Source organism: Homo sapiens, chromosome 16 (genome assembly GCF_000001405.40).
Source record: "Homo sapiens chromosome 16, GRCh38.p14 Primary Assembly".
Lineage (NCBI taxonomy): Eukaryota > Metazoa > Chordata > Mammalia > Primates > Hominidae > Homo > Homo sapiens.
The window spans coordinates 77,287,549-77,314,216 of record NC_000016.10 but is presented as its reverse complement, the minus strand read 5'-3'; the positions used below and the strand labels follow the sequence as shown (position 1 = coordinate 77,314,216).

The following is a 26,668-nucleotide window of genomic DNA, read 5'->3' as shown; positions in this document are numbered from 1 at the left end:
TTGCAGCCTTGATCGTTGAGTTAACTCCCATCATCTTCCTAACTGGAGATACCCAGTCCCATCAGTCCATCTGTTTGGTGGACGTCCCTCAAAGATCTCATACCACCTACTCAAGAGAAGCTGTTATTAGGAAATGTTCTTCCAGCCCCCTCAGCATTTTTATTTGAGAGGAAGATACTAGCATTTCCCAATCAAAATAGACTATGGCCAGGATAGTTTGGAGCTCAACAGTGAATCCAGCCCCTGATATTATACTTTAATTAAACCTAAGGCATAGAAATTGAACTCTCTTATTAAAGATTTCTGGATTTTTTAAGTCCTTTTTTAGATACATTGTGTTACCTGTTTCTTTTCTACTAAGCATCTGAGCAGCAGACTTCTTTTTCTTTTGAGGGGCTTTTTCGGCTTGAAGGTATCAGTTTTAGAGAGCAGGACTTCATTAATTTTTGCCAAGAGGCCTTCGATCCACCTCAAAGCAAATGTACACAAACCAAGTTCTGTAGCTGAAAGTGAACCTGAATAGGGAAACAGGGGTACATGCATCTGACAGTCTCAGCCGTGTGCAGTCAGAGCAAAGTGCAAATCACTCCTGATGAGAAATACGTTTTTTACCGCTTCATGACAAGCAACCATTTTTTCTGTTGTTCGTCTCTCCAGTTTTGGTCATAAACACAGAACCATTCCAGCAGTCTTCCACAATTCTGTTTGTAATTTAAGTTTTTTTTTTTTTAAACCTTGAGTCATTTATTTATTTATTTATTTATTTTATTTTTATTATACTTTAAGTTCTAGGGCACATGTGCACAATGTACAGGTTTGTTACATATGTATACATGTGCCATGTTGGTGTGCTGTACCCATTAACTCGTCATTTACGTTAGGTATATCTCCTAATGCTATCCTTCCCCCCTGCCCCCACCCGACGACAGGCCCCGGTGTGTGTTCTTCCCCTTCCTGTGTCCAAGTATTCTCATTGTTCAATTCCCACCTATGAGTGAGAACATGTGGTGTTTGATTTTTTGTCCTTGTGATAGTTTGCTGAGAATGATGGTTTCCAGCTCCATCCATGTTCCTGCAAAGGACATGAACTCAACATTTTTTATGGCTGCATAGTATTCCATGGTGCATATGTGCCACATTTTCTTAATCCAGTCCATCATTCTTGGACATTTGGGTTGGTTCCGAGTCTTTGCTATTGTGAATAGTGCCGCAATAAATATACGTGTGTGTGTGTCTTTATAGCAGCATGATTTATAATCCTTTGGGTATATACCCAGTAATGGGATTGCGGGGTCAAATGGTATTTCTAGTTCAAGATCCCTGAGGAATCGCCACACTGTCTTCCACAATGGTTGAACTAGTTTACAGTCCCACCAACGGTGTAAAAGTGTTCCTATTTCTCCACATCCTCTCCAGCACCTGTTGTTTCCTGACTTTTTAATGATCGCCATTCTAACTGGTATGAGATGGTATCTTATTGTGGTTTTGATTTGCATGTCTCTGATGGCCAGTGATGATGAGCATTTTTTCATATTTGGCTGCATATTCGTACTTTATTTAATCCATGCATAGCTCTGTATGTCATTCATCAACATGATTTAGCCCTGACAAAAAGTAAACTTTAAGATTTTTCACCAGGTGTAAGATTTTTCCTGATAGTTAGAAGTTTTTTTTGAGACGGCCGAGTGCGGTGGCTCACGCCTGCAATCCCAGCACTTTGGGAGGCCAAGGCGGGTAGATCACCTGAGGTCAGGAGTTCGAGACCAGCCCAGCCAACATGGTGAACCCTTGTCTCTATTAAAAATACAAAAATTAGCTGGGCATGGTGGCGGGCGCCTATAATCCTAGGTACTGGGGAGGCTGAGGCAGGGAGAATTTCTTGAACCCAGGAGGCAGAGGTTGCGGTGAGCCAAGACCGTGCCATTGCACTCCAGCCTGGGCGACGAGAACAAAACTCCGTCTCAAAAAAAACAAAAAAAAAAAGAAAAGTTTTTTTTGAGGAATGGAAGATTGGCCTCCACTGGTGATAGAGTTCTCTCGAATTGATCCGGTTCATCAATCTATCTCTTTGTAAATAATACGGACAGCACCTTGAGTGACAACAACAACAAAAATAAGATGTAAGGACAAATGTTGAGTAGATCTAAATAAAATCATAAAAACGAAGTCTTCCCCAGGTTCAATTGGATATGTATAATATGTTTTTAAAAATAATTATTTACTACTACATAAAAGAATAAGAACTACAGCAATATCTCCAGTAATACAAAATTGTCGTTTCACCACAGTGGAATAAGGTCATGTTTGCCTGGCTATTGTTTTCCAAAATCTTTCTTTATGCACTCATTCTACCAATAGATTCAAGAAAAACTTAATGTCCAAGGAATTTGACCTATCTGAAAGCAATCTAAATGGAAACTTGTATGATTAATTGGACGTGCCTTGCTTGTATTTTTAAAGGAGTTATGGTTTCATTCAAAAGTTGCAAATATATTCAAAGCAAAAAAAAAAGAAAACTCCAGTAATCTAGTATTTTGTCTATGATATCTTTTCAAATAATTTAGGTTAATGCCTTTGGTATTTAAATTACACTTTATTGTTCTCTAGAGAACATCATCAAATTGCTGGTCAGTTTTTAGCACATGCTTGTATCTCTCTAAAATGGATGGAACACAGATATTCTAAAAACATAAAATTATAATAAGCAATAAATTATATTTTCCCAAAAGTGGACTGTATATTGATATCCAAGTGATCCATGGCTGTATTCTTTAAAGGAAGTTGAATAAAGTTCATAGGCCTTTCCATACAACAGCTATGAAGAGCCAAAATGAATACTTTTGGAGCCAAACATATATTTACTCCAATACAAAAATATTAAATCTATTTTATAATCTTGTGAAATGCTAAAATCACTGTGGGAACCTACTAAAATGAAAAATGCTGTTCCATCCACAGAAAGAATAAATCTATGAATGAAAGCACCATCTCTTTTGGCCACCTAAAATTATTGTATATTCACTAAGTCCTTATGATGATGTAAAATTCAGCAGAAGTGTATGTTTTCCACAACACGTGAGGATGCCACTGTGAGAGTAATGTTCCTCTTTTTTTTCCCTTTCATATGTATGACATCATATTCTTCCCATATCTTAGCTAAATTTCATTTTCATCTGCCTTCATGTGTATCAATGTAGGTAATTACCATCAAAACAATTTTCTTCTGTTCACTTCCTCTCATTGTCTGGTTTAAAAAACATTCAGTGTCCAGCCCTGTGTTAGATATTGGAGATGCACAATCAGGCCAGGTGCAAAAATTCCAGCACTTTGGGAGGCTGAGGCAGGTGGATTGCTTGAGCATGGGTGTTTGAGACCAGCCTGGGAAACATGAAAAAACCCCCGTCTCCATGAGAATACAAAAATTAGCTGGGAGTTGTGGTGCATGCTGCTAGTCCCAGCTATTCCAGAGGCTGAGGAGGGAGGATCCCTTGAACCCAGGAGGCTGAGACTGCAGTAAGCTGTGATTGTGCCACTGTACTCCAGCCTGGGCAACAGAGACCCTGTCTCCAAAAAAAAAAGAAAAAAAGGTTAAGACATAAATCTTTTCACCAAAACTTTACAGCCTTAAGTCTTTAAATAATGTAAAAAACAAGCATTGGTACGTGGATTCCATTCTTTTGGGAAGCAACATGGGTTAGACAAGAAGCATCTGCATAAATAGCTGGGATATAGGTTGCTCTGCTACAAACTATGTGACTTTGGAAAAATCACTGAAATGATCAGGGTCCCAGTTTCCTCATTTCAGAAATGATTTCCCCAGACTGAACTAATGTCTTCTACTGTGTCTATACTACTGTCCTGAAGTACTTTTAGAGCACCCCCAAACCCTATGTTATCAGACAATGACTCATTTATACTTGTAGCTTCCACAATTGGCACAGTGTCTGGAACATCGTGGGATGTTTAAGAAAATGTATGGAGTGAACAACATCCAATGATAAAATTCATTCGTTGCAATCTTCTTTCAAATTGAAAAATTTTACATGGAAGCAAAACATAAAAGGAGAGCTTCTTTCACTGAAGCCAGGAGTGAAGGGACCAGAACCCAGCCTGTCCTTGCCCCATTTCAGCACTGAAATCCTCTGAAGATCCTGAGGCTTCTGTAACACACATTTTAAAAACCACTGTATCTGATCATCTCTTGAGACTGGCCTTGACAACCACATGGTTTAAAGTTAAGTACAGCAAATAGCATTTAAAGTAATGAAATTTGATCTCCTAAAATGCATTTGAGGAATCAATGTGCTTCCTAAAACACTTGCTTTCCTGAAGTGAATAACTTACACCTAGGAAGTCACTGACCAGTTAGTTCACAGTGGACTTACCTCAATCTAGATGAATAGCAATTTGCCCTTTCAAGGTGTTGAGTTTGCCAATCATTCCACTTATTTCTTGGTGTTTTGTAGTACAAGGCAGGATAATGCGATCCTGGAAATAATTGACTGCTGTCAGTTAACCCCAAGAAATAAGTGCATGGTTTGATGCCAAATAAAAGTGTCTTCTGCTTCTGGTTATTTTTATATGTCAAAACTTTATAGGATGTCTTCCTGGGAAGCTAAAAATTTAAGCTAAATAGAAAACAGACCTTCACTTTTATCACTAAGTCACATGCCAGTCCAATTTTAAAATGCAGTCTGTATTACAGACATCCATTCTCCTTGGGTCCTTGGTTCTAGATGGTTTCAACATGTGCAACAGGTGGATGACAATTTATACAGTGCTGGCCCCATTGATTTCCTTGGTGTCAAAGGGATATACCTCAGGGTAATCAAGGATTTGTATGATTGTCTTAGGTCTTAAATTTCTTAGGCATTATTTAAATCAATCAAGTTTTTGATCTTGAAATACGTACACATATATGCATATAAGTGACTTGGAGAAAAGGAGATAATTTTCTTGACCAAGTGTTATATTTCTGTATTTCCCAGAAAAAAAAAAACTAGCCAGCTACATGCGCACGTTAGCATAAAAATAAATATTGATTTAGCAGTCACATAGTTTCTGAGATCACTATGAATATAGTTAATATAAAACTAAATAATTTCCATGTATTTCAACTTATTTTCTACAACATAAGTCTGGCATAAAGACTAAGGGATGTCTCACTGAACTAGTGTACTTGTTAGTCATCCAGAAGATTTAAAAGGTAGCTTTTATTTTAATAGAGTTTAGGATATTATGTATCAGTGACTGCATTATGTTTATTTTATTGGGTTTGGGAATACTGAGAAAAACTAAATCTATTTTAATTCTCCACTCCTGAATATCTAAATTAAGTGTGTGTGTGTTGTAAGAAATTAAATTTTCAAGTGATTGAATTGTGAAAACTGAAGATCAGAGTGAAACTTTACACAAGGCTTTGTTGACAGTTCATCTGAAGTAGACACATACATATGCTGGGCTTTTTGAGTATGCCTGAAAACAATGTTTTTCCATCTTGAGGTTTAGGTGTAGGTAATTTAAGGTCACTGACTTTGTCCTTTGTTTAAGCAATATGGAAAAGGCCTGTTTCATACACAGTTTTAGGAGACCTTGGCAATAAGGATTAAAATGTACACAAGTTTTTTTTTTTTTTTTTCATGATTAGCTAAGGTATCCACTTAGAGATGACACATTCTCTAGAAGTGACTAGAGATGAGGTATCTTACTAGTTCATGCTCCTCCTTTCTCTCCTCTTCCTTTTCCCCCATTTCAATCTTTCTCTGTCTCTTTGTCTGTATCTCTCTCACCCACATACACACACACAACAATGAATGAGTCACATTCTCTATCAAGCTGTCATGCAGTTGGAGTGGAGGTGAGGAAATTCATCATGAGTGTTTCATTATGAAGTAACTTCATCCCTGTCTGATAAACAAAGTGATTCAGTATGACATGATAATACAGGTTGCTATTGTATGGCTGAAATATGACCACCTGTGTTTTCACAGCATTCCTTTTTTAAAAAGTTTTAAAAAATAGAAAAGCTCTCGTTTATGTTAGGAATTTTTTTCTCTATGTTTAGCAGAAGAAGAGGGCGTTTAACTCTTTGAAAGCCCATTCCTAGTGTAATAAGGGAGAATCCTGAAGCTGAAAACGACAGCAGCCTTTCTCATGATAGTAAGTGAGAAATAGGTTAACCACAGCCTAGTTTCAAGGCAAGAAGAGACATCTAAAGAAAATTACTATAATAAACAACTTCCTGCACTCTTTGGCCAAAGGAGATGACAGGGTGGTGGGGACCAGGTGGACAGGCACATTGATCAATGAGATGACAGTGTGAGCACCACTGACGAAGTATTACCTTGTCATCCAGCTCCTTTGTGACCCTGCCTGCTGAATTCTCCCCAAGGTAAAGGGGCTGAAATGAGTAAGGAAGTGCCTCAAGATACAATCAGTGTAAGGGAAGGGAGATTAGCCAAGTAGCATGGACTGAGTGAAGACACAAGACACAAAAGAAGCAGAGAAGTAATGGAGAATTAATTCAGAACAGATGATAGAATAGTCAGGCTCGAGAGGACGATTCAGAGGTACTTTTGCGATGGCACGTCATTTGTCTAGAGATTGCCATTTGCTATTTGAAGTGGGGGCCTCCAGTTAATTCATGGCAAATACTTTTGTGACGGGTTAGAGAACACTATTTCTCCCCACTACACTCTGAGGAATGTTGATGAGTTGAATTAGAACTGTAGTCAAGGTTCAATGTGTCAGCCCACACCTTTGAAGCTGCCTAACAGATGCATTTCCAAATCCCTGATCAGGGTCTTTGTATTACTGTCTCTTGTCAAATTCAATCACTCACACATAATAGCAATGATGATACCTGGTCATGTTCTTCCAGCTTTGAAGCAAATAAGTCAAAGAAAATGGGCTGAATTCTAACACAAGTTTCCAAAAATCACATGAGCTTACAAAAACATGAATCCACACCACAAAACCATTCTTTCCGTGAGACACAGGAGTGTAAGGTGCAATTTGGGCTTTATCAAGAAAAGGCCAACCAATAAAGTCTATTATATTTCAGTTGTTAAAACAATGATTATAAATAAATCCAGGGGAAAATTGATTGAGGAGATCAAGTATTCTTAAATTAGATGCCAGTATGTTCAAGAAATAAAATTCTTAGGTTCAAACCCAGTGTCACAAAGTAAATGTCACAGCACACCAGGGAGGCCCAGTGTTGTCTTTCCAGCAGTTAACACAGTTTTTAGAATTTTAAATTAGAATCCTGGGCTTGGTGTTTCAAAGCTTGAGAGGCAATGTTGTGAGAGTGAAGATGTGAGGTTTTAGGGTTAAACAAGACCAGAGACTTGAGTCCCATTGCTGTGACTTATTAGCTATGTGACTTTGAGTATTGGTTTATTAGTCTACACTATTGGAATTAATAGCACCTTCTTCTTAATGTCGTTATCAATTTTAAATGAGATAATGCATGTACAATGCTTTGCCTGGCACATAATAAGCACTCAATAGGCATTGTTAATTTTAAAGCAATCGAATACATTATTGAGGACAGGAATTGAGTTTCCTAGCATGCATTAAATAAAAAGCTAGTCTTTAAAATTTATCCATAACCTTTATGGTAAAATGAGGACAACTTCTTGAAGAAGAAGAAAAAAAGAGGCCTTAAATAATGAAACAAATACAAAGCTGACTGAAGGAATTTTAAAAAGTTTTAACATTAAAAATTAAAAGTGGGGACGAAAGAAAGAGAATCATTTACCCGTGATTATTGAAGATATCCTTTGTTTTAATTTTATGTGCCTTAAACAGAAACTGCATCCCCTTCCTTCAGAGAGTTGTTGGTAGATTCCAGCCCCTGTCTGTGGTTTTCCAACTTAAGAAGCTGTAAATTTTATAACTCTGCACCCTGCGGTTAGAGCTGCTGAGTGTTGTGTCTGAAGTCAGGTGGTTTGTGTGTTAAAGGTAGACATTAAACATCTCTATGGAGGACCTGGAAGCATTTAAGGAGGTTGCTTGCCAGCTGTAAATTGGAGACTCCATGCCAGTTGGCTGGAAAATTCTCTGGACTAAGTCCAGTTAAGTAGATTGAATCACTGGCGGTCTTTCCAAATTTGTGCATTTAACAGCTTGGCTATACACTCCGACATGCGGCACGGGGTTGTAAGCAATGGCATTATTGTGATGTGGTGCCATTACGGGAGGGATGCGGTGCTCCTGTACCCTGAGCATGTTTGTGTTCTCCAGGAATGCTGAGAAAAGCAATGGACTACTCTTGACATGGTCACCGAAAATGTTCTAAAATGTGAACAATGGGAATGATCATTTTCAAGTTACATATTGCCCAAGATGTGTTCCCTGGCATTCGTAGAGGAAGTTAGCATCTTAGGTGGTTCTATGCACACCTCTCCAGGGTTGTCCTGTTTCCCCACATCAGTGGGAGAGGCTGTCTGTGGTTTGGTTGATGGTGATGGACACACTAAAGCACGTGCTGAGATATAATCAAGGCCACCAAATTGGGGGCTATATTCTCCAACCATGAAACGAGAGAGAAGTCATTGTCAGATTGCAGGGTCATTTCGAATTTGAAAAATTTTTAATTGTGTCTTAAAACTGATCCAGGTGAGAAAACCTGGATTTAGCTGGGCAGGACTAGCTTCATGGGCATGGGACCTGCCCAGCTGCAGAGGACGTTGTGCTTAGAAGCGCCCTTTGGTTTAATGCTTCACTGTCACTGTCTTGAAATTCTTAATTTTTTCAAACAATGACTGTTGAATTTTCATTTTGCACTGGGCTTTAGAAATTATGTAGCAGTTTTTGAGGGTGGATTTGATTTGAGAAAATTCTGATTTTTTTTTAAGAACAGGGTGAAAGAGAAACTTTCCCACAGAGATTCTATGAGACAAGTGGACAATAATCTCCAAAGGTTTAAGTATTTGCAGGCATCAAACAGTAAGAGATAAGAGGATTTCTAGGATACTCTTGGTCACTGTTCTTCTCAACACAGAATAAAGATGGGGGCAAAGAGCATCTTACTTATTGAGAAGCAAATAATATGCTACAATTGGCACATACTTATCTTTTATATATTTGTCTTGGTACTTATTTGTTTAAGTTTTTACTTCCTTTACAAGGCCTTTACGAGCTGATGTTAAGTAAATTCTTACATCAGCTTTCTGCTGGTTTGTACAAATATTGTCTTTCGGTCTACATGATAACACATTGAACTCTGCATGTGAATTTATAGCTACACATACATTAAAGGCAAACCTTGAGTCATTTGATTTTTGTAAAGTTAAGAGGCCTTCATTTATGTATTCATTGAATGCATTAATATGTTAAGGAAATAAACTATAAACAATATGCTCTATATGCTACTGGCCATAAAACTGTAATAGTAACACACATACACAGGCATACAAATAGCTACTATGTATTTTATGAGTTAATTTAAAGCTGCACGTTCCTAAGAACATGTACAGCAAATTGTGTAAGTTATTTCTCTTTTTCTTTTGGCCAGATACATGAGTTTTGTATTACCATGATATTATGAAATGGATTTGTTCCCTTACTGCTGTTTAATATTCTGATCATTGCTGGTCTTACCTTTAGTTCAAGGATTTTACTTTGCTGAGGATCCTCATTTTCAAGTTTAGGAAAAGGGATGTGGGAAACACAGTGTAACAGTTTGTCTTTTTCAGAGGGGGGAATAGAAATCTTCAAAGAAAACAGAAGTATTTGATTGTTTTTGTTTTTGAGACAGTGTCTCACTCTATGGCCCAGGCTGGAGTGCAGTGGTGTGACTATAGCTCACTGCAGCTTCCAACTCCTGAGCTCAAGCAGCCCCCTGCCTCAGCCTCCCAAGTAGCTGGGACTATAGGCACACACTACAACACCTAGCTAGTTTTTTAAAATTTTATTTTAGAAATGGGGTCTTGCTGTGTTGCCCAGGCTGATATTGAACTTCTGAGCTCAAAAGATCCTACTGCCTCAGCTTCCCAAAGTGCCTGGCCAGAAACTCAAATTTTGTTGCTTTGTGTCTTCTTCGCTATAATCATCACCGAGATTTGTTATTAATAAGTGATAGCTACAAAGCTTCTTTAGATGATAATGTGATTTCCTCCCCCACCTCAGATTTACTAAAACATTTCAATTCCTTTTATAGGATCTGTAGCACTTGATTTTTTGAGATGGAGTGTTGCTCTGTCGCCCAGGCTGGAGGGCAGTTGCGTGATCTCGGCTCACTGCAAGCTCCGCCTCCTGAGTTCACGCCCTTCTCCTGCCTCAGCCTCCCGAGTAGGTGGGACTACAGGTGCCCACCACCAGGCCTGGCTTGTTTTTTAATATTTTTAGTAGAGATGGGGTTTCACCATGTTAGAATGGTCTCGATCTCCTAACCTCGTGATCCACCCACCTCGGCCTCCCAAAGTACTGGGATTACAGGCGCGAGCCCCCGCGTCCGGCCCTAGCACTTGATTTTTAACCCAAATAACTGTGACTGTGTTTTTTTAATATATGAATCTGTCTCATCTTCTCCACTGGGGGATATCACTTCTCCCCCTCCCGAAAGTCATTTTTTTTTTTATTGTCTTGACCGTGGAGGTCACAAGAGACATGATGGTGGCTTAGATCAGGGCAGGAGCAACAACATATGAGGTGGTAAGATATGAGAGAGGATAAAAGTTAAAGTAACACCATTTCTGATCTATTAAATATGAGTGTCTGTCAGAAAAAGAGAAGTCTAAAATGGCTCCAAGTTTTTATTTTGGCCTAAACAACTGGAAGGGTATTCCCTATGAGCAGCCTTTCAGGGAGGCAGAAAAAAGTTAGACATTGATATACTCTTAAGCATTCAAGTGGAGATGCCAAGTAGACAATGTAGTATGGAAGATGGGTGTCAGAGGCGGGGTGTCATCCGTAGCCATGCATCCAGTATGGTAGCCATTAGTCACACATGGTTATTTAAATTAAAAGGCTTTTGACTTCAACCACACGAGTGCATTTCAAGCACTCAGTAGCCATACGTGGGGCAACTACGGTGGTCACATCCTGGTGGAGATGAGGGGAGATGGAATCAGTGTGTAGTAAAGAACTTGGACTTGGAGCCAGGACAGGGCATCCTGAGTGACAGCAGGGGAGGAAGAGGAGGATACGGATACAGACACAGAGAAACATTTGACAATGGGAGATTGTGTGAGTTCCCTTCTTGTTGGTTGCATTGATAATTTTGTATGGTTGGCTTGAGTGAAGGTCTGGGGAAGCTTGACATGTGGTTGTTTTTGCTTAATACTGGTGACACTTTTATCATCACAGTCTTTTTCTTAAACACATTTTTTTTTCTTGAACACATCCTGCTGTTCACAGCAACATTTAAAAATGTTTTGCAGTGAAACCACAGGCCATGTATGGCTTAGGCTCTAGAATCTGTCTAAAAGGTGAAAGGGGAATATATTTCAAATGTCTGTTGAAAATTTGTCAAACTACTTTTTTAATCAGCAGAACATAAGTCCTAGAAGCTCAAAAGGCAAGAACTAATGTTCTTTTATATTTTCTTTGCGTTTTTATTGGGGATCTGTTCCCCTATGGCAGAAAATATTAGGATCTAGTTTGAATGGGAGGAATGGGGTGATACTAGAAAGTGCAGTTGAGTAAGTTAATTTCTTTCTGTATAGCATTTATACTTAAGCTTGCCCCTACTATGTGCGTATGTGTGTGATGCGACCTCTTTGTACTGCAATACCATTCTGCCTTGTGGGCCTTAGCGCACTGTAACTCTTATGCATTGCACTCACATTGTATTGCCACACAAGTAAATACGGTACAGTGCATAATTTTCTGTGGTACAAGGTCTCTGCATTTTTGTTGCATAAAAAAAAGGCAAAATAAGTGCTACATTTGAAATACTGCTTTAACCGAATATGAAATTGAATTATTAACCAGCATCAGGATCATCTTCTGAATGTAAAACTGCTCTCACAATTCTAGTTTGACCATGAATAAAACTGTAAAGTTTCTGTATTTACTTAATATCAGATGAAAACATTAACAGAAACACTGCAGGAAAGCATACTATTTATTCAAAAATACTGTGGAAATAAGGAAAGCATAGTATTTATTCAACATGTGTGAAATGTTGTGTTAAGTTGAACACAGGGTTCCAAGAACAGCTGTATGACTTAGCTGCGAAAGTTAAAAAAAAAAAAAAAAAAAAAGCAAAGACTAGAAAGATCTTCAAAATAAAAGACTCCTAAGACTTTGATTTCAAGATTTTTTTTTATTGGCAACTGATAACTGGGCATTTGTTCATGTAATGGTACTACCTGTTGTGTTTTGTATTGATTTGGTTTTGGATGGGGGAACACAGATCCATCTATTAACATTTGATTATTTCTAGGAGGCATCGAGATTTGTTTTGTTGCTCTACAAACTGATGTGTACACCATGGAATCTTAAGAGTTAGTCATAATACTCCTGGAGACATTTAAGCCAGTAGCAAAATAGAAGTCATTTTGTACCATCCTAAAGAGTGATCTGGTGAAATGAAGGGCCTTGAACAGCTGCCACCCACCAAACTCTAATGGAGGTGGGATCCCACCCGAGGGAGACAGAGCCAGGGGTTCCTATTTTTTAACTGGCAATCAGCTTTGCCTCTTGGGCATGAATGCCCAGTTCTAGTGGTAAAGAATTTTCCACAAGATTCATGGAGTGGGAAAGAACCAGCTATTTATATTCATGCTTTCAGCTTGGAAAAGAAAAAAGAAGAAAGAGGAGTAGTTAAGAGGGCATTAAGAAGGCAGACAGATGCTTTTCCTACATCAAAAACAAGGTGATACATTGCATTGTGTAGGCACATTTTGGTTGGTGGCTTTACTTAAGCTCAGTCCCTAGTCACTTGTGTGATCTTGCACAAGTTCTTTCTCTCCAGTTTTTTTTTTTTTCAATGAAAATATAGGCAGCTACATTATAGAGTTGTTAGAAGAATGTTTTATGATGCATTAAGAATGGCTGCAGAGTGCTTGGCACTTGGGAAGTGCCCAATATGTGATTGCTCTTATTTTAGTAGTCAGACTTTATGGGATCAGATTTATCCTAAGTTGTTGCCTTTTTGGAGGTTAAGTCTATTCTAATGCATGTATTCCAATTGCTGATTCTGAACATGTTTCTTTTCTTCTTATCTGCTCATCCTAGCACACAGTTAACAAATTCTCTTTGGGAAAATTTTCTATGGAAAGTATATTGGAAACACATTTGGATTCTGAAGTTGATGATAGCAACTCTAAGTGGGGGTATTCTGTGGGTTTTGGAGTGTTTCCCTTGTTTCAACTTCCACTAGCACCCAGGAGAGAGCTTGTAAATTGTGACCTAGGATAGATCATAAAAATATATATATGTAGATTCAGTTTTAACTATTTTCTGTAGGGTACGACTATGTGTGTTCACCATGCTAGGTTTTTAAGTTAGGGTTTAGACCCAACAGTATAACCTTTCTTTCTTCTTTATGATACATATATGTGTGTGAGTGTGTGTGTGTATGTATGTGTTTGTGTATACGTTATGGGCTTATGGCAAATGTCAATCGTGTTTTGCTCTTTAGCATCTACCTAAATCACAGTTTTGATAACATGAAGGGACACATTTTAAAGTGTCCTGGGAAAGCTTTAAGTCAACATAAAACATACTTGGGAACAATGAAGTATACCAATGTTAAGGTCAAAATGTCATGTAAATATCTTTAAAATGTTCAGTAAGATTTCTGGAATTCCAGGGTCTGACCTGTATCTTGATCTCTGATTTTTATCTTACACTGTCCAGATTCTGATGCAAGGCAAAAATCCAGGGATAGCTTGGAAGTATGCACTTCCCAAGGTCATGAATGGAACTCCACCAGCCACAAAAAGACCTGCCTATACCTGGAGTATCGTGCAGTCAGAGTGCTCCGTCTCCTGTGGTGGAGGTAGATGATTTTCTCATTCTGTCTCCAAAGTCTGTCTCTCTTAAAACAGGTTCTTTCACTCCAGGCGTCTTTAACATAATATGGTTTAAATAAGCCACCCAAGAACTGTCTTTTATGAGAACCATCACCATAAAAGCAAATATTATGGCATTAGTTAAGGGTTTTCCTATGTGGTAAGGAATCAACTCTCACAAAGCTCAAATCAACCACAACCAAGGCTCAAAAGTTACACATCTAAAACTTATGGGAAAAACATATAAAATATATTGAATTATTTACAAATAGAAGCATATTTATATTATATATATATGTTTAATTTTCAGCTTTTAGTTTCCGCCAGTCTTGGCTTTTCTGTCATTATTAACCTTCCATTTGGAAGTTATAAAAGCTAGGGTCAAGGCAAGTGAGGACGCATACATGGCAAACTTAAGATGTCTATCTGAAACATGGATATCCCCTCAGGGGTAAGGTCAGCAAAGGTTCTCTCACTAGAGGAATGGATTAAATCTGAGACAACCCTTGCAAGGAAGGAACAACAGCAACCATCTACTGGGTGAGTAGAAGGAAGGCGTTTTATTTAGATGTGAACAATGTCACATATTTGGGGGTTAAACCATTGTCACACTTGCTCATTTGGGAGGAAGAACAAGTGCCCAAAATAAGTTCCTGAAACCACAGCATGAATGTTGGTCTCTCATTTCCTATTATTCAGAGCACCTGGTGACAGTGAGACTTCCTACTGGTTCCATCCCACTAAGCATAATAAGGCTTAGAATCAGAGACAGAGCAAAGATACAGAAAATGAAGAAATTCTTATGTCTGAAAGGCCTATCTGTAGGTCCATGCTAATTAACAAAGTATGAAAAAATACTTTTTTAGGATACATATATAAAATAATTAAAAGGTAATACATTTTCTAGTAATACCCATTTTAAAAGCAATGGGCTATTAAGAAGAAAGGTAATCCCCATAATTTGTAAACAGGCAATAGCCAATGTTAATATTTTGATCTATATCATTTGTTTCCCTAGGCACATGTAAGCAAACATGTGTTTGACAGACTCACATACCGTGAGTATCATTTTGTATCCCTCTGTACTGAAATCATGTTATAGACATCTCTTCACACTGTTTCATTTAGTCACAGATTATGAGGTCTTTCTCATATCCAGTGTTTCTTGAGAACATTTCCAATAGCTTTCTGGTATTCCAGGGAGAGCACAGTGCCTTGGGAAGGAGAGAAGTTTGATTTGCTTTCCACTTACAGAATCTAAATCCAGCCAAGAGGAGGATGCAGAGGAAGCCAGTTGTGAAATTCTCGCCTTGCCCTGCCTTAGCAACCCCTTCGCATGACTCACAGACCCTGGTGTGTCCTGTGTCCAAGAGAAAAAGAATTCAGATGAATAAGTCCTATTAAAGTCAACGGTTAACTTCAAGGAATGTTGATTTTTTGTTTTTGTTATTTTTTCTTGAGATAGGATCTCACTCTGTCACCCAGGCTGGAATGCAGTAGCACAATTACGGCTCACTGCTGCCTCGACCTCTGGGGCTCAAGCCATCCTCCTACCTCACCGTCCTAAGTAGCTTGGACTGCAGGTGCCTGCCACTATGCCTGGCCCGTTTTTTTCTTTTTTATAGAGATGGGGTTTTGCCATGTTGCCCAGGCTGGTGTCAAACTCCTGGCCTCAAGCAGTCCGCCTTCCTTGACCTCCCAAAGTGCTGGGATTATCAGTGTGAGCCATCGTGCCCGGCCTTGATGTGGTTTTCGTAAGTGCCTCCTGAAAGCAAACCTGCTTCAGCCCCAGGAGCTGGACTAACTGCTAATCATTATAGCAGGAGTGACTTATTCTTTCTCAGATTATATTTGAAGACAAAGTTCCAATGTAAATAAAAAACACAATTCAAAGGGGAGGCAGCATCTCTATTTGGGGAACTAAAAAATACAATTATTCACACATTTTTAAAAAAATATATGCCCCTGATAAGAAGTCCTGAAATTAATGTTGAAAGCAAGGCAGTGGGATGCCACTAAGGAAGCAAAAGCAGAGGCCGGGTGCAGTGGCTCATGACTATAATACCAGCACTTTGGGGGCTGAGGCCGGTGAATCACTGAGGTCAGGAGTTCAAGACCAGCCTGACTAACATGGCCGTCTCTACTAAAAATACAAAAATTAGCTGGGTATGGTGTCACACACCTGTAATCCCAGGTATCTGGGAGGCTGAGGCAGGAGAATCGCTTGAACCCGGGAGGCAGAGGTTGCAGTGAGCCAAGATCACGCCACTGCACTCCAGCCTGGGCGACAGAATGAGACTCCATCTCAAAAAAAAAAAAAAAAAAAAAAAAAAGCAAAAGCAGAGCCCTGGCTGATAGGTTTTAATACATATTTAGTGAGTTCTACTCTTTGCTTTTATGTGCCCCATGCTCTTAAGAAGTATGAGATATTTCATGTTAAGGCAAAATCTTAGGGTTTCCATATATAACTCACGAATGGTTTTTCTTTGAAGAACATTAATCTGATAATAAAGTTTGCCTGGGATGTTACCCTTTATAGTCATTCTGTTTTCAAAAGGTTGTATTTATCAATTTATGGTTCTAGTATCCACATCAGTCTTGAAAACCAATAATCTACATGTTACAATTATTAAAATATAAAATATATTATTTTAGGGAGGGGAATGGAATTCAAATTAGTTGCAAATTTCATCAAAAGGAAGCGTTCCACAAAATATTTGGATTCCATATCTGAAATAAAATATCACAATGCTGGTAAATCAGAAGCTAAACTTAGAACCAAATTGAAATAATAATCTGTAATTTTCACTTTGTCACTTCTGATGTCTTACCAGGTTACATAAATGTAAAGGCCATTTGCTTGCGAGATCAAAATACTCAAGTCAATTCCTCATTCTGCAGTGCAAAAACCAAGCCAGTAACTGAGCCCAAAATCTGCAACGCTTTCTCCTGCCCGGCTTAGTAAGTCATTTGGAAGTGTCTTTTTGTTTAGTTTTGTACTTGTATGCCTTCATTGTTGTTATGAGATGATGAAAGCTCACTGTGAATACTGCTAATGGAAAGTGATTCAAAGGTAGACGCAATACTTTAAAAAGTAATAGAAGATGATGAGCTAGGCATGGTGGCACGTGTGTGGTCCTAGCTACTTGGGAGGCTGAAGAGGGAAGATCAGTAGAACCCAGGAGTTCCAGGCTCCAGTGAGTCATGATTGTGCCACTTACATATTAGCCTGGGTGAAAGAGTGAGATCTTGTCTCTAAAAGAAATTTTTTTAAAAAAGATGGTTGAAGTTTACATTTGAGTTGAAAAATACAAATTTACTTTTGGTACTCACTTGACTTTGGCTTGATAGCCAGGAATAAATTTACTGGCTATTTAAAAGCAAGCTTGCTTGGGATATGAAGACCTCTTTTTTTTTGGAGGGGAGGAGGAACAAGGAGTCTCACTCTGTTGCCCAGGCTGGAGTACAGTGGCCTCATGATAGCTCACTGCCACCTCTGCCTACTGGATTCAAGCAATTATTGTGCCTCAGCCACCTTAGTAGCTGGGATTACAGGTGCACGTCACCACACCTAGCTAATTGTTGTATTTTTAGTAGAGACGGGGTTTTGCCATGTTGGCCAGGCTGGCCTCAAGTGATCTGCCTGTTTTCAGCATCCCAAAGTTCTGGCATTACAGGCGTGAGGTGCTTTTTTCTTTTAACCTTTGCATAGGGATTCCTCTTCTCTGAATGGAATCAGACAGATATTTAAATAACACAGAATCCTAAATTAGTTCAATTTGCGTGCGGTTGTGTGCCTAACTTTTTTGTAAATGGTCCAAGAATTTAAAAATCATAATATTATGCGGGCCATGAAACCCCAAATGCAAAATTACACAGTAGCAAGACACAAAATAAAAAGAATGGGGTATAGGCCAAGTGGTAACTCCACCGCTGATGATGGCAGCCTTGGAGGGGCTCAGTGAGTTTGTTCTTGGATTGACTTTAGCCACACTATTGTTTGAAGACTAATTTTAAGTAATCTTCCCAGTTAAAGGGAGTCTCTTTCATGTGATTTATCTTCTGCCAAATATATTTATATAAAATGGATGGGAGTTTCTTCTAAAGCAGTGTTGCATTCACCAATGTTTTAGATCATCTTCATAAGTAGTGTTTGGTTTGTGGTGATGCAATCGTATTACACAATCTTTATATATAAAGATGTGCGTATATGTGTGTGTATATATATATACACACACACACTTTTTTTTTTCTTGTAAATAATAGTGCATTTGTCATAATCTGAGGCTGAGGCAGGAGAATCACTTGAGCCTGGGAGGCAGAGGTTGCAGTGAGCTGAGATCGAGCCATTGCACTCCAGCCTGGGCAACAAGAGCAAGACTCCATCTCAAAAACAAAAAAAGTTTCAATTGATAACCGTTCAAATATATACCAAGTCTCAGACAGATAGCTATTAAAAAAAAACTGGTCTGGCAAATTTTAAAGAAAATGAAGGTAGGTATTTAACCTATCACTAAATTCAGGTGTAATCAGAAAAGTAATTTGGGGAAGTACCCACTTAAAAATATCCTCTGTGAGACCTTCTCTAAATGTACCCCTCTCTCCTGCACAAACCTCCCTCTCTTTCTCTCTCATTGATGACTGTTCCATGAGCCTCCTCATTGTATTTTATGTTGACTTCCATTGCAGCACTTATCAGAAAGTACTGTCTTTATTTGTTCACATATCCACCTCTTTACTGTGTTATAGGCTCCTTAATGGAAAGAAGGCTGCTGCCTTAATTTTTCTAATCCTAATGCTTAGGAGAGTCCCTGACACATAGTTAAAATCCCAACAAATTTGGCTCAATGAATTGTGCAGATTTTAAAGTGGCATGTATTTCTTCTCATGCAGAGGCGGGAGTATATTTGTAGAACTGTGGGATGATTAAATGTGATTATTTATATCTCAATCACATTAGTATAAGCCTCTGGATCCCTCAAAGAACAATTAGAATAACTTATCTTATTGGTTCTGAAATTGATTCATGGCTTCCATAGGTGGTTTACCTTTCACAGTAACTGCTTTGGAAGTTATCATACAAAGTTTGGCTTCATTGGTAATGTTTGTTTTGCACTGAAAGCTGGATGCCAGGTGAATGGAGTACATGCAGCAAGGCCTGTGCTGGAGGCCAGCAGAGCCGAAAGATCCAGTGTGTGCAAAAGAAGCCCTTCCAAAAGGAGGAAGCAGTGTTGCATTCTCTCTGTCCAGTGAGCACACCCACTCAGGTCCAAGCCTGCAACAGCCATGCCTGCCCTCCACAATGGAGCCTTGGACCCTGGTCTCAGGTAACAGGAGAAAACTTGGGAGTTACTATTCTCGGTCCCCATGAAGGCAAAAGTAGAGGTGTCTTTGCTCTCCACTGGGCTCTTGGCAGTTTACATGTTCATGGAAATCACCCTGAGTTCATGTGCCTGGGAATCTGCATTTTAACTAATGTTCTTTAGGAAATCTGAAGTTTTGGCACCCCTCTCCCAGAGCTTAGAATCCTCCTTAGAGGAACAGAAATTGGAGTGTGGGGGCCATTTAGGCCAGACTCGTGAGCACAGCTAGAAAGGATTCCAGTATCAGAAGACTGGCTACTGAATTCTCCAAAGCAAATGGGAAACGCAAATACAAAGAATGAAGCATCGAAGAGATATTTAACTCTTGCTTCAATGGGAAAGAGGTAAAGTTAGAAGAATACAGAGAAAAGTAGGGCATAAAGTTTGCTATGGTCACAAATTCCCAGTGAAAGCCATAAAATTTTAAAGTTAGAAGGGACAGAGAGCTACCTTGTCGTTCACAGCTCAGAATTCCCTCTAAAGCAAAGGTTCTCAACCGTGGGTAAGTTTGCCTACCAGGAGACATTTTGATGTCACAACTTGGGGAGATGAGTGCTCCTGGCATCTAGTGGGTAGAGGTGAATGTCCTACACAGCCCAGGCCAGCTCCTCACCACAAAGAATTATCTGATCCAAAATGTCAGTGGTGCTGAAGGGAAGAAGCCCTTCCCTACAGCTTCCCTTGCAGATGATAGCTCAACCACTGCTCAATCACTGCTGGCAAACAAATTATGGGGAAGAATGAAAAAACGGCAAGAGTTTTACCACCTGAACCATGGGGCCAGGTAGCAGCCACTGATGACAGTTCTTCTGTGTTTTCCTTTAGCGTATATTACATGCTGGAGGGTGCTGCTTTCTGATTAATTTCAGCAATACACTACCAGAGGTCAGAGTAGGGCTTTATTTTTTAATGTTAGGACATATCTGTTAGCACAAGGGTCCCCAACCCCCAGGTCATGAACAAGTACCTGTTTGTGGTCTGTAAGGAACTGGGCTGCCCAGCAGGAGATGAGCAGCAGGCCAGCATCACAGACTAAACTCCACCTCCTGTCAAATCAGTGGCAGCGTTAGGTTCTCAGAGGAGTTTGAACCCTGTTGTGAACTGCACAGGTGACGGATCTAGGATGCATGTTACTTATGAGAATCTCATGCGTGATGATCTGAGGTGGAACAGTTTTATCCCCAAAGCACCACCCTGCCCGTCCATGGAAATACAGTGTTCTGCAAAAGCCGACCCTGGTGCCAAAGAAATTGGAGACTGATACGTTAGGGAATTAGGGGTCAGGAGGGAGAGAGAATATTTTTGAGCTTGTTTAGGGGTTCTTTCAAATGAGAGAATATATTCCTTTATAGCAGAGGGTAAATCTAAATAGTACATGGTGTTGAGTCTAGTCTCTTTCTTTGCAGTTAGCAATATAATTTACAGAAAGAATTCAAATAATTGTTTTAGCCAGATATGTATGGTGGGTAATGGGAATGGGGGTGGTTAAGTAGATCTCGTAAAAAGAGCTTTAGTTCATGGAGTTTATCCCACCTTTCACAGGAATATATTTAGTGTGTTGTTTTTTTTTTTAATGTGGCTACTGAAACCTAATGGGAATGCAAATAGAACTTTTTTGTCTTCTCAAGTGTTCCAAGACCTGTGGACGAGGGGTGAGGAAGCGTGAACTCCTCTGCAAGGGCTCTGCCGCAGAAACCCTCCCCGAGAGCCAGTGTACCAGTCTCCCCAGACCTGAGCTGCAGGAGGGCTGTGTGCTTGGACGATGCCCCAAGAACAGCCGGCTACAGTGGGTCGCTTCTTCGTGGAGCGAGGTATGGATTAGAAGTCACTGCTGGGTCAGGAGATTGAGACCATCCTGGCTAACACAGTGAAACCCTGTCTCTACTAAAAATACAAAAAATTAGCCAGGCAAGGTGGCAGGCGCCTGTAGTCTGATCTACTGGGGAGGCTGAGGCAGGAGCATGGCGTGAACCCAGGAGGCGGAGTTTGCAGTGAGCTGAGATTGCGCCACTGCACTCCAGCCTGGGCGACAGAGTGAGACTCTGTCTCAAAAAAAAAAGTCACTGCTGGAGGTTTCTTGAGATGCTCAGCTGACCTGCTAGCATCTAGGCTCACAAAACTCCTTTGTGTTGCACACATTGATACCAAATGCCTGCTACTTCCCAGTTCTCTCCTGATTTCTTCACGAAACATTGCTAAAGCACCCCCACATTGATCAAGCCTATGTCTGGGCAGTAGGGGCGCAAGACTTCATAAAGCACACGCAGAGAAAGCACACGTCAAGTGACTTGATAGAAGTCTGTCATTTTATGGGAGAGCTCAAGCTTCACCCAAGCCGGTCTTTGGGAAGAACCCTTGTCAGAAGAGACTTTCTAGGGAGCATGGCCTGAAAAATGAGCAGGAATCAAAGCAAAAGGGGATTTGGGGCAAGGTTGTCCCAGACAGAGGGTGCAGCCTCTACACAGGAGTGATGACAGGGGACTGCACATTTAGTAAAGAAGGGACATGGGATGGGGTGGAAAAATCATGAGGGCCTTGGGTGACACACTAGAAATATCTCTCACAAATACTGGGGAGTAAATTTTTTATTTTTGAGACAGGGTCTTGCTCTGTTGTCCTAGAGTGCAGTGGCAAAATCTCAGCTCACTGCAGCCTCCACCTCCCTCGCTCAGGTAATCTGCTGCCTCGGACTAGAGGCATGCACCACTATACCTGGCTAATTTTTATAGAGATGTGGTTTCACCATGTTGCTGAGGCTTCACCATGTTGCTGAGGCTGGTCTTGAACTCCTGGGCTCAAGTGATCCACCTGCCCCAGACTTCCAAACTGCTGTGATTACAGGCCTGAGCCACTGCACCCAGCCTAAAAGGATATTTTTCCTAAAAGGATACTTTTGACCCTCATCATGTTACCTCCTGTGTGTGAGAGGTTGGGTATATTTAAAGAGCAATTATTTGCTGTACAGTGGTTTTTCCCATTAAGCTCTGAATCCTTTTCTCTGGCCCTTACCCTCTTCAACTCAGATTCCTAACTCCTCAGGCCTTAGGTAGACCTGGACCTGTAAGTGTGTAACCCTAAACCTGGAAATTCTTTTGCCCATCTTGCCTTTCTCCTGGACTCCATCTCACACCCATGTGGCATCCCAAGGTTCCTTTTTTACTTTATGAGGCTAATGATCTGTGTGATTTTGGGAAAGTCAGTTCCGTTCTCTGAACTTTGGTTTCCTTACCTATAGCATGAGGTACTTGGCTGCTGTATCTGTAAGATCCTCGAGTGAGTGTGGTTGACCTTGTGTAATCCCATCCCTCCTATTTCATGTGGATGGTGCAACCTTATGTCAAACTGCCTCTGTCCAGAAGATGTGATCCTGGCAGTCTTCACTTTTACACATCCTGTCTTGGCTCCTAGTGTTCTGCAACCTGTGGTTTGGGTGTGAGGAAGAGGGAGATGAAGTGCAGCGAGAAGGGCTTCCAGGGAAAGCTGATAACTTTCCCAGAGCGAAGATGCCGTAATATTAAGAAACCAAATCTGGACTTGGAAGAGACCTGCAACCGACGGGCTTGCCCAGCCCATCCAGTGTACAACATGGTAGCTGGATGGTATTCATTGCCGTGGCAGCAGGTGGGTACAGGCCGATTGAGGAGGTGTCTATTCAAGTGAGATGTCGAAAAATGAGGCGTTCTGCAAACAGTTGCTCTTAGTCTGTTAATGGTTGTCTAAGTAAAAACAACTAAGGGCTCAAGTTCTGAAGGCAGAATGGGTTTTGTTCTTTGGCCCTGGGCAGGTAACAATCTGTAAACCTCAGTTTTCACATCTAGAAAATCATTATCTGGGAGAGTTGATTTGTTTTTGTTCATCAGAAAATGTATGTAAAACACTTACCACCAGGCCAGTTATACACTGCTAATGTTGGTCATTGCTGTTGCTACGGAAACTACCACTCGAGTCTTTCTGTTTTAGAAATGCTGCTCACAGCCTTTACTCATTTGGTTCTTACATCATGTTTCTGAACAATGTAATAGCTAATATTTGTCAAGCTATTACTATGCACGGTGCTAAGTACTCCTATTCAGGGGTAGTATGGTCCCTAAAGCTCAGAATGTCAGGCAATTCAGCCAAGGATACTTCGCTTTTAAACTTATCAGATGCTAGAGGCACCCTTCTTTTCAGAAGACTTGGGTGAAACTTTAGCTAGGATTGGTGTGTGACGCGGTCCTTCCAGCATTCCACCCAGCAGATGTTGCTGCACAGCTGTTCAGTTCAGAGGACTCGGGTGCTCCCCACCTCACCATTAATCACAGAGTCCGGGTAGAGGTATCAATATGTACGTACGTTATCTATCTGGGAGGATCTGGAAACCAACACATGGATGAGAGGAAAGGAAATTAGCCTGATTTTCTCTGGCCAGGCATTGTGCTAGGTGTTACACATATTGCTGGGGATTTCTTTTTAAAATTGACTCTAATAAGTTTATTTAGATTAAGGGGTCAGCAAACAGTTGCCACCCAGCCAAATCTGCTCCCCCAATACCTGCCTGTTTTTATAAAGTTTAACTGGAATGTAGCCATGTTCATTTGCTTAATATATTGACCACAGCTGCTTTAGTGCTACAACGGCAGTGAGGAGTACTTGCAACAGAGGCCGTATGCCTATACAGCCTGAAATATTTACTATCTATCTTCCCCTTTAAAGGAAAAGTTTACAAACTCCTAGTTTAGATAATTTGATAACAAGACTTGCCCTTAAATTTTAATTGAGACAGAAACTACAGTCAATTATAATGCATATGTACATTTAAGAAAAATTAATGTAGTAACTTTTTAAAATAAGAAAAATCCATTTAAAGGGCTACATTTTTCCCTGGTTTTCCTTTTGTTATGAAGTATCTTTATAAATTTTTCATATGGCTGTCTGGAAGAAAGACAGTTGAGTTGTCTACTTTTGAAAATTTTTAATTGCACACTGAAATCAGCGACTCCTAAGAAGCACCAACTCTGTCATGCCAACTCAGAATGTGGCTGGGCACCGAGGACCTAATTCCAGAGCTGTCTCTGACCATTTCTTTTTCTGTCCCAGTTTTGAACTATGTCCTCCACTACTGCAGCTGCACAGATTGTCTGGAATTCTTTAAATCCTGTGATTAACTCCCTAGGTGTGTCTGTATTTGTTTCTGCATTCTTAGAGCAGCTTCTGTATTTCTGGAGCTTCTCTTCTTTATGAGTGAGTCACTTAACTGGGAGACACACACTCTTGGGCTAGATAGATAGCATTTGCCTAAAACCCTTCTAATCAGATCAAAGGGATCACACTTGTTAGGATAGATGCTGTGGACTGTAAGCACATGTGCCTGGCTCCAGCCAATCTGTTTCATCAGCAGGCATCTTGTTAATGTCATGAAGCATGGGAATTCCTTCTGTTTGATGTCACTGACCTCAGTAGAGTGTTTCTGACTCCTTCCTCTTCTCTCTGCTGCAGTGCACAGTCACCTGTGGGGGAGGGGTCCAGACCCGGTCAGTCCACTGTGTTCAGCAAGGCCGGCCTTCCTCAAGTTGTCTGCTCCATCAGAAACCTCCGGTGCTACGAGCCTGTAATACAAACTTCTGTCCAGCTCCTGAAAAGAGAGGTAAAAAGGCACCATGCTCCAGTCAACTTTACTAGTCTTTAGATAATTTTTTCAAAGGCTACTTTGTTAGTAGTGCAGCCTGTGACATTGTACAACTCTAGGGTAAGCCATTCACCCGAAGTCTATGTGACAGTGCTCCCTGGAGTTGTATAAGGCACCACTCTGGGGAAGTTGCTGTCCAAATAATCTTTTTCAGACAGTCTCAGTCTGTCATGCAGGTGGGAGTACACAGCTCACTGTAACCTCTGCCTCCCGGGTTCATGCCATTCTCCTGCCTCAGCCTCCTGAGTAGCTGGGATTATAGGTGTGCACCACCACGCCTGGCTAATTTTTGAATTTTTAGTAGAGACAGGGTTTCACCATGTTGGCCAGGCTGATCTCGAACTCCTGGCCTCAAGTTCTGGGTTTACTGTCACAAGCCACATGCCCAGCCTATCCTAGTGATCTTGTTTGCATGGGTCTGAAGGGAATATTTAATTGCTACAATAATGCTTTTTAACCATTATTAATTTGAAAATGGGAACATAAAGGTGAACAACAATAGCCCTCAAGGAGCTCATATTTTAATGGAGGAGACAACTATAATCCATATATAAAGATGTTCATGTTTGTTGAAGATATAAAAAATTCAGAAATCAAAAGTAATAGTCATCAGTGAATATGTATTGCCCTAGGACTATACCTAAATGTTTTCTTAAAGTTAGTTCAAGGGAAGTGCAGTGAGTACTGATAGGAAAATGGAAAGTCTGAGTAAACTGTACCATTCTTCACTATTTGAAGTAATCTGACAAATGCCAGGAAATATCTTTCAGCCTAATCTGCTTGCCTCGTGCTAAAGAATCTTGCACAAGACCAAAAAAAAAATAGCTCTGTAGCAGTTACTCAGAGCCAGATCATCCTAGTCCATGCTGGGATACTACATAGGGAAGAAATGAGCAAGCGGTCATGTTCTTCCAGACTATCAGTGATTTCTCATTTCCACCCTTAATTACCAAAGAAAGATTCAGCCTAGAAGGCCACCAGCACCCCCAACGACAATGACCAATTATGAAATTGCCCAACAGTATCTCCTGGAAGGATGGGGAAAGTCAACATGCACGTATGGTCCAAGGAGGCCATTTGTCTTGTTATTTTTGGCTCACCCAGCACCTAATACCACAATGGGCACGCAACAGGTACTCAATAAGTCTTAAATGAATAAATGCATGAGTGTAGGGCTACATGAAAGATCATGTGAAAAGTGCTGTGAGGTCCTCGATCTTGTTCAAAGCCAAGTCACCAAGCACCTTATATACCTCCAGCACTCTTCTAGGGATGAAAGAATACAGCTGGGTCCTATTCTTAAAAGGTCCTGTTCTTAAAAGAAAGCTACAACAACAAATAAGTGGTGGAATATTCACAGTGTTACAGTGATGGTCAGTTCTACCTGTGGTGCTGGAATGAGGGGAGTCATAGGGTGCATATGAGAAATGGCTTATTAAAAGAGGAGCTTGGCTGAGTGCTGTGGCTCACACCTGTAATCCCAACACTTTGGGAGGCTGAGGCGGGTGGATCACCTGAGGTCCGGAGTTTGAGACCAGCCTGGCTAATATGGTGAAACCCCGTCTCTACTAAGAATATAAAAACTAGCTGGGTGTGGTGGCAGGTGCCCGTAGGCCTAGCTACTGGGGAGGTGGGAGGATCTCTTGAACCCAGGAGGTGAAGGTTGCAGTGAC

General features: G+C 40.4%; 1 protein-coding gene and 1 long non-coding RNA gene across 5 annotated transcripts in view, besides 3 other annotated features; one reads left to right on the top strand and one right to left on the bottom strand.

The window, feature by feature from the left end:
• The window catches only part of ADAMTS18 (ADAM metallopeptidase with thrombospondin type 1 motif 18), a 152,907-nt gene that overhangs the window by 120,818 nt on the left and 5,421 nt on the right, over positions 1-26,668 (top strand). For 3 of the 4 annotated variants that reach the window (NM_199355.4, NM_001326358.2, XM_047433673.1), the window contains 6 exons: positions 13,813-13,954; positions 16,802-16,928; positions 19,090-19,294; positions 20,959-21,141; positions 22,739-22,951; positions 24,806-24,953. In NM_199355.4, the coding sequence (NP_955387.1) occupies positions 13,813-13,954; positions 16,802-16,928; positions 19,090-19,294; positions 20,959-21,141; positions 22,739-22,951; positions 24,806-24,953 (1,018 nt within the window). The remainder of the gene's footprint in view (positions 1-13,812; positions 13,955-16,801; positions 16,929-19,089; positions 19,295-20,958; positions 21,142-22,738; positions 22,952-24,805; positions 24,954-26,668) is intronic. The other variant, XM_047433672.1, reaches the window with a different exon arrangement.
• Positions 5,592-6,791: an enhancer, noted in NCBI's record as "BRD4-independent group 4 enhancer chr16:77341323-77342522 (GRCh37/hg19 assembly coordinates)". NCBI's record gives its function as "activates an origin of replication core promoter dependent on BRD2, P300/CBP, MED14 and CDK7 cofactors, and independent of BRD4, by STARR-seq in HCT116 cells {active_cell/tissue: HCT116}" and the evidence as "EXISTENCE:reporter gene assay evidence [ECO:0000049][PMID:35650434]".
• Positions 11,604-11,773: an enhancer, noted in NCBI's record as "experimental_45289 CRE fragment used in MPRA reporter constructs". NCBI's record gives its function as "activates a minimal promoter by MPRAs in K562 erythroleukemia cells, with activity observed for the non-introgressed 16:77336426 variant allele {active_cell/tissue: K562}" and the evidence as "EXISTENCE:reporter gene assay evidence [ECO:0000049][PMID:34662402]".
• Positions 12,255-24,941, bottom strand: LOC124903727 (uncharacterized). The gene is made up of 2 exons (XR_007065122.1): positions 24,762-24,941; positions 12,255-15,327 (listed from the first exon to the last, which is right to left on the bottom strand). It is a non-coding gene; the product is annotated as an uncharacterized LOC124903727 (long non-coding RNA).
• Positions 23,945-25,144: an enhancer, noted in NCBI's record as "CDK7 strongly-dependent group 2 enhancer chr16:77322970-77324169 (GRCh37/hg19 assembly coordinates)". NCBI's record gives its function as "activates an origin of replication core promoter dependent on BRD2, BRD4, P300/CBP, MED14 and CDK7 cofactors, with strong dependence on CDK7, by STARR-seq in HCT116 cells {active_cell/tissue: HCT116}" and the evidence as "EXISTENCE:reporter gene assay evidence [ECO:0000049][PMID:35650434]".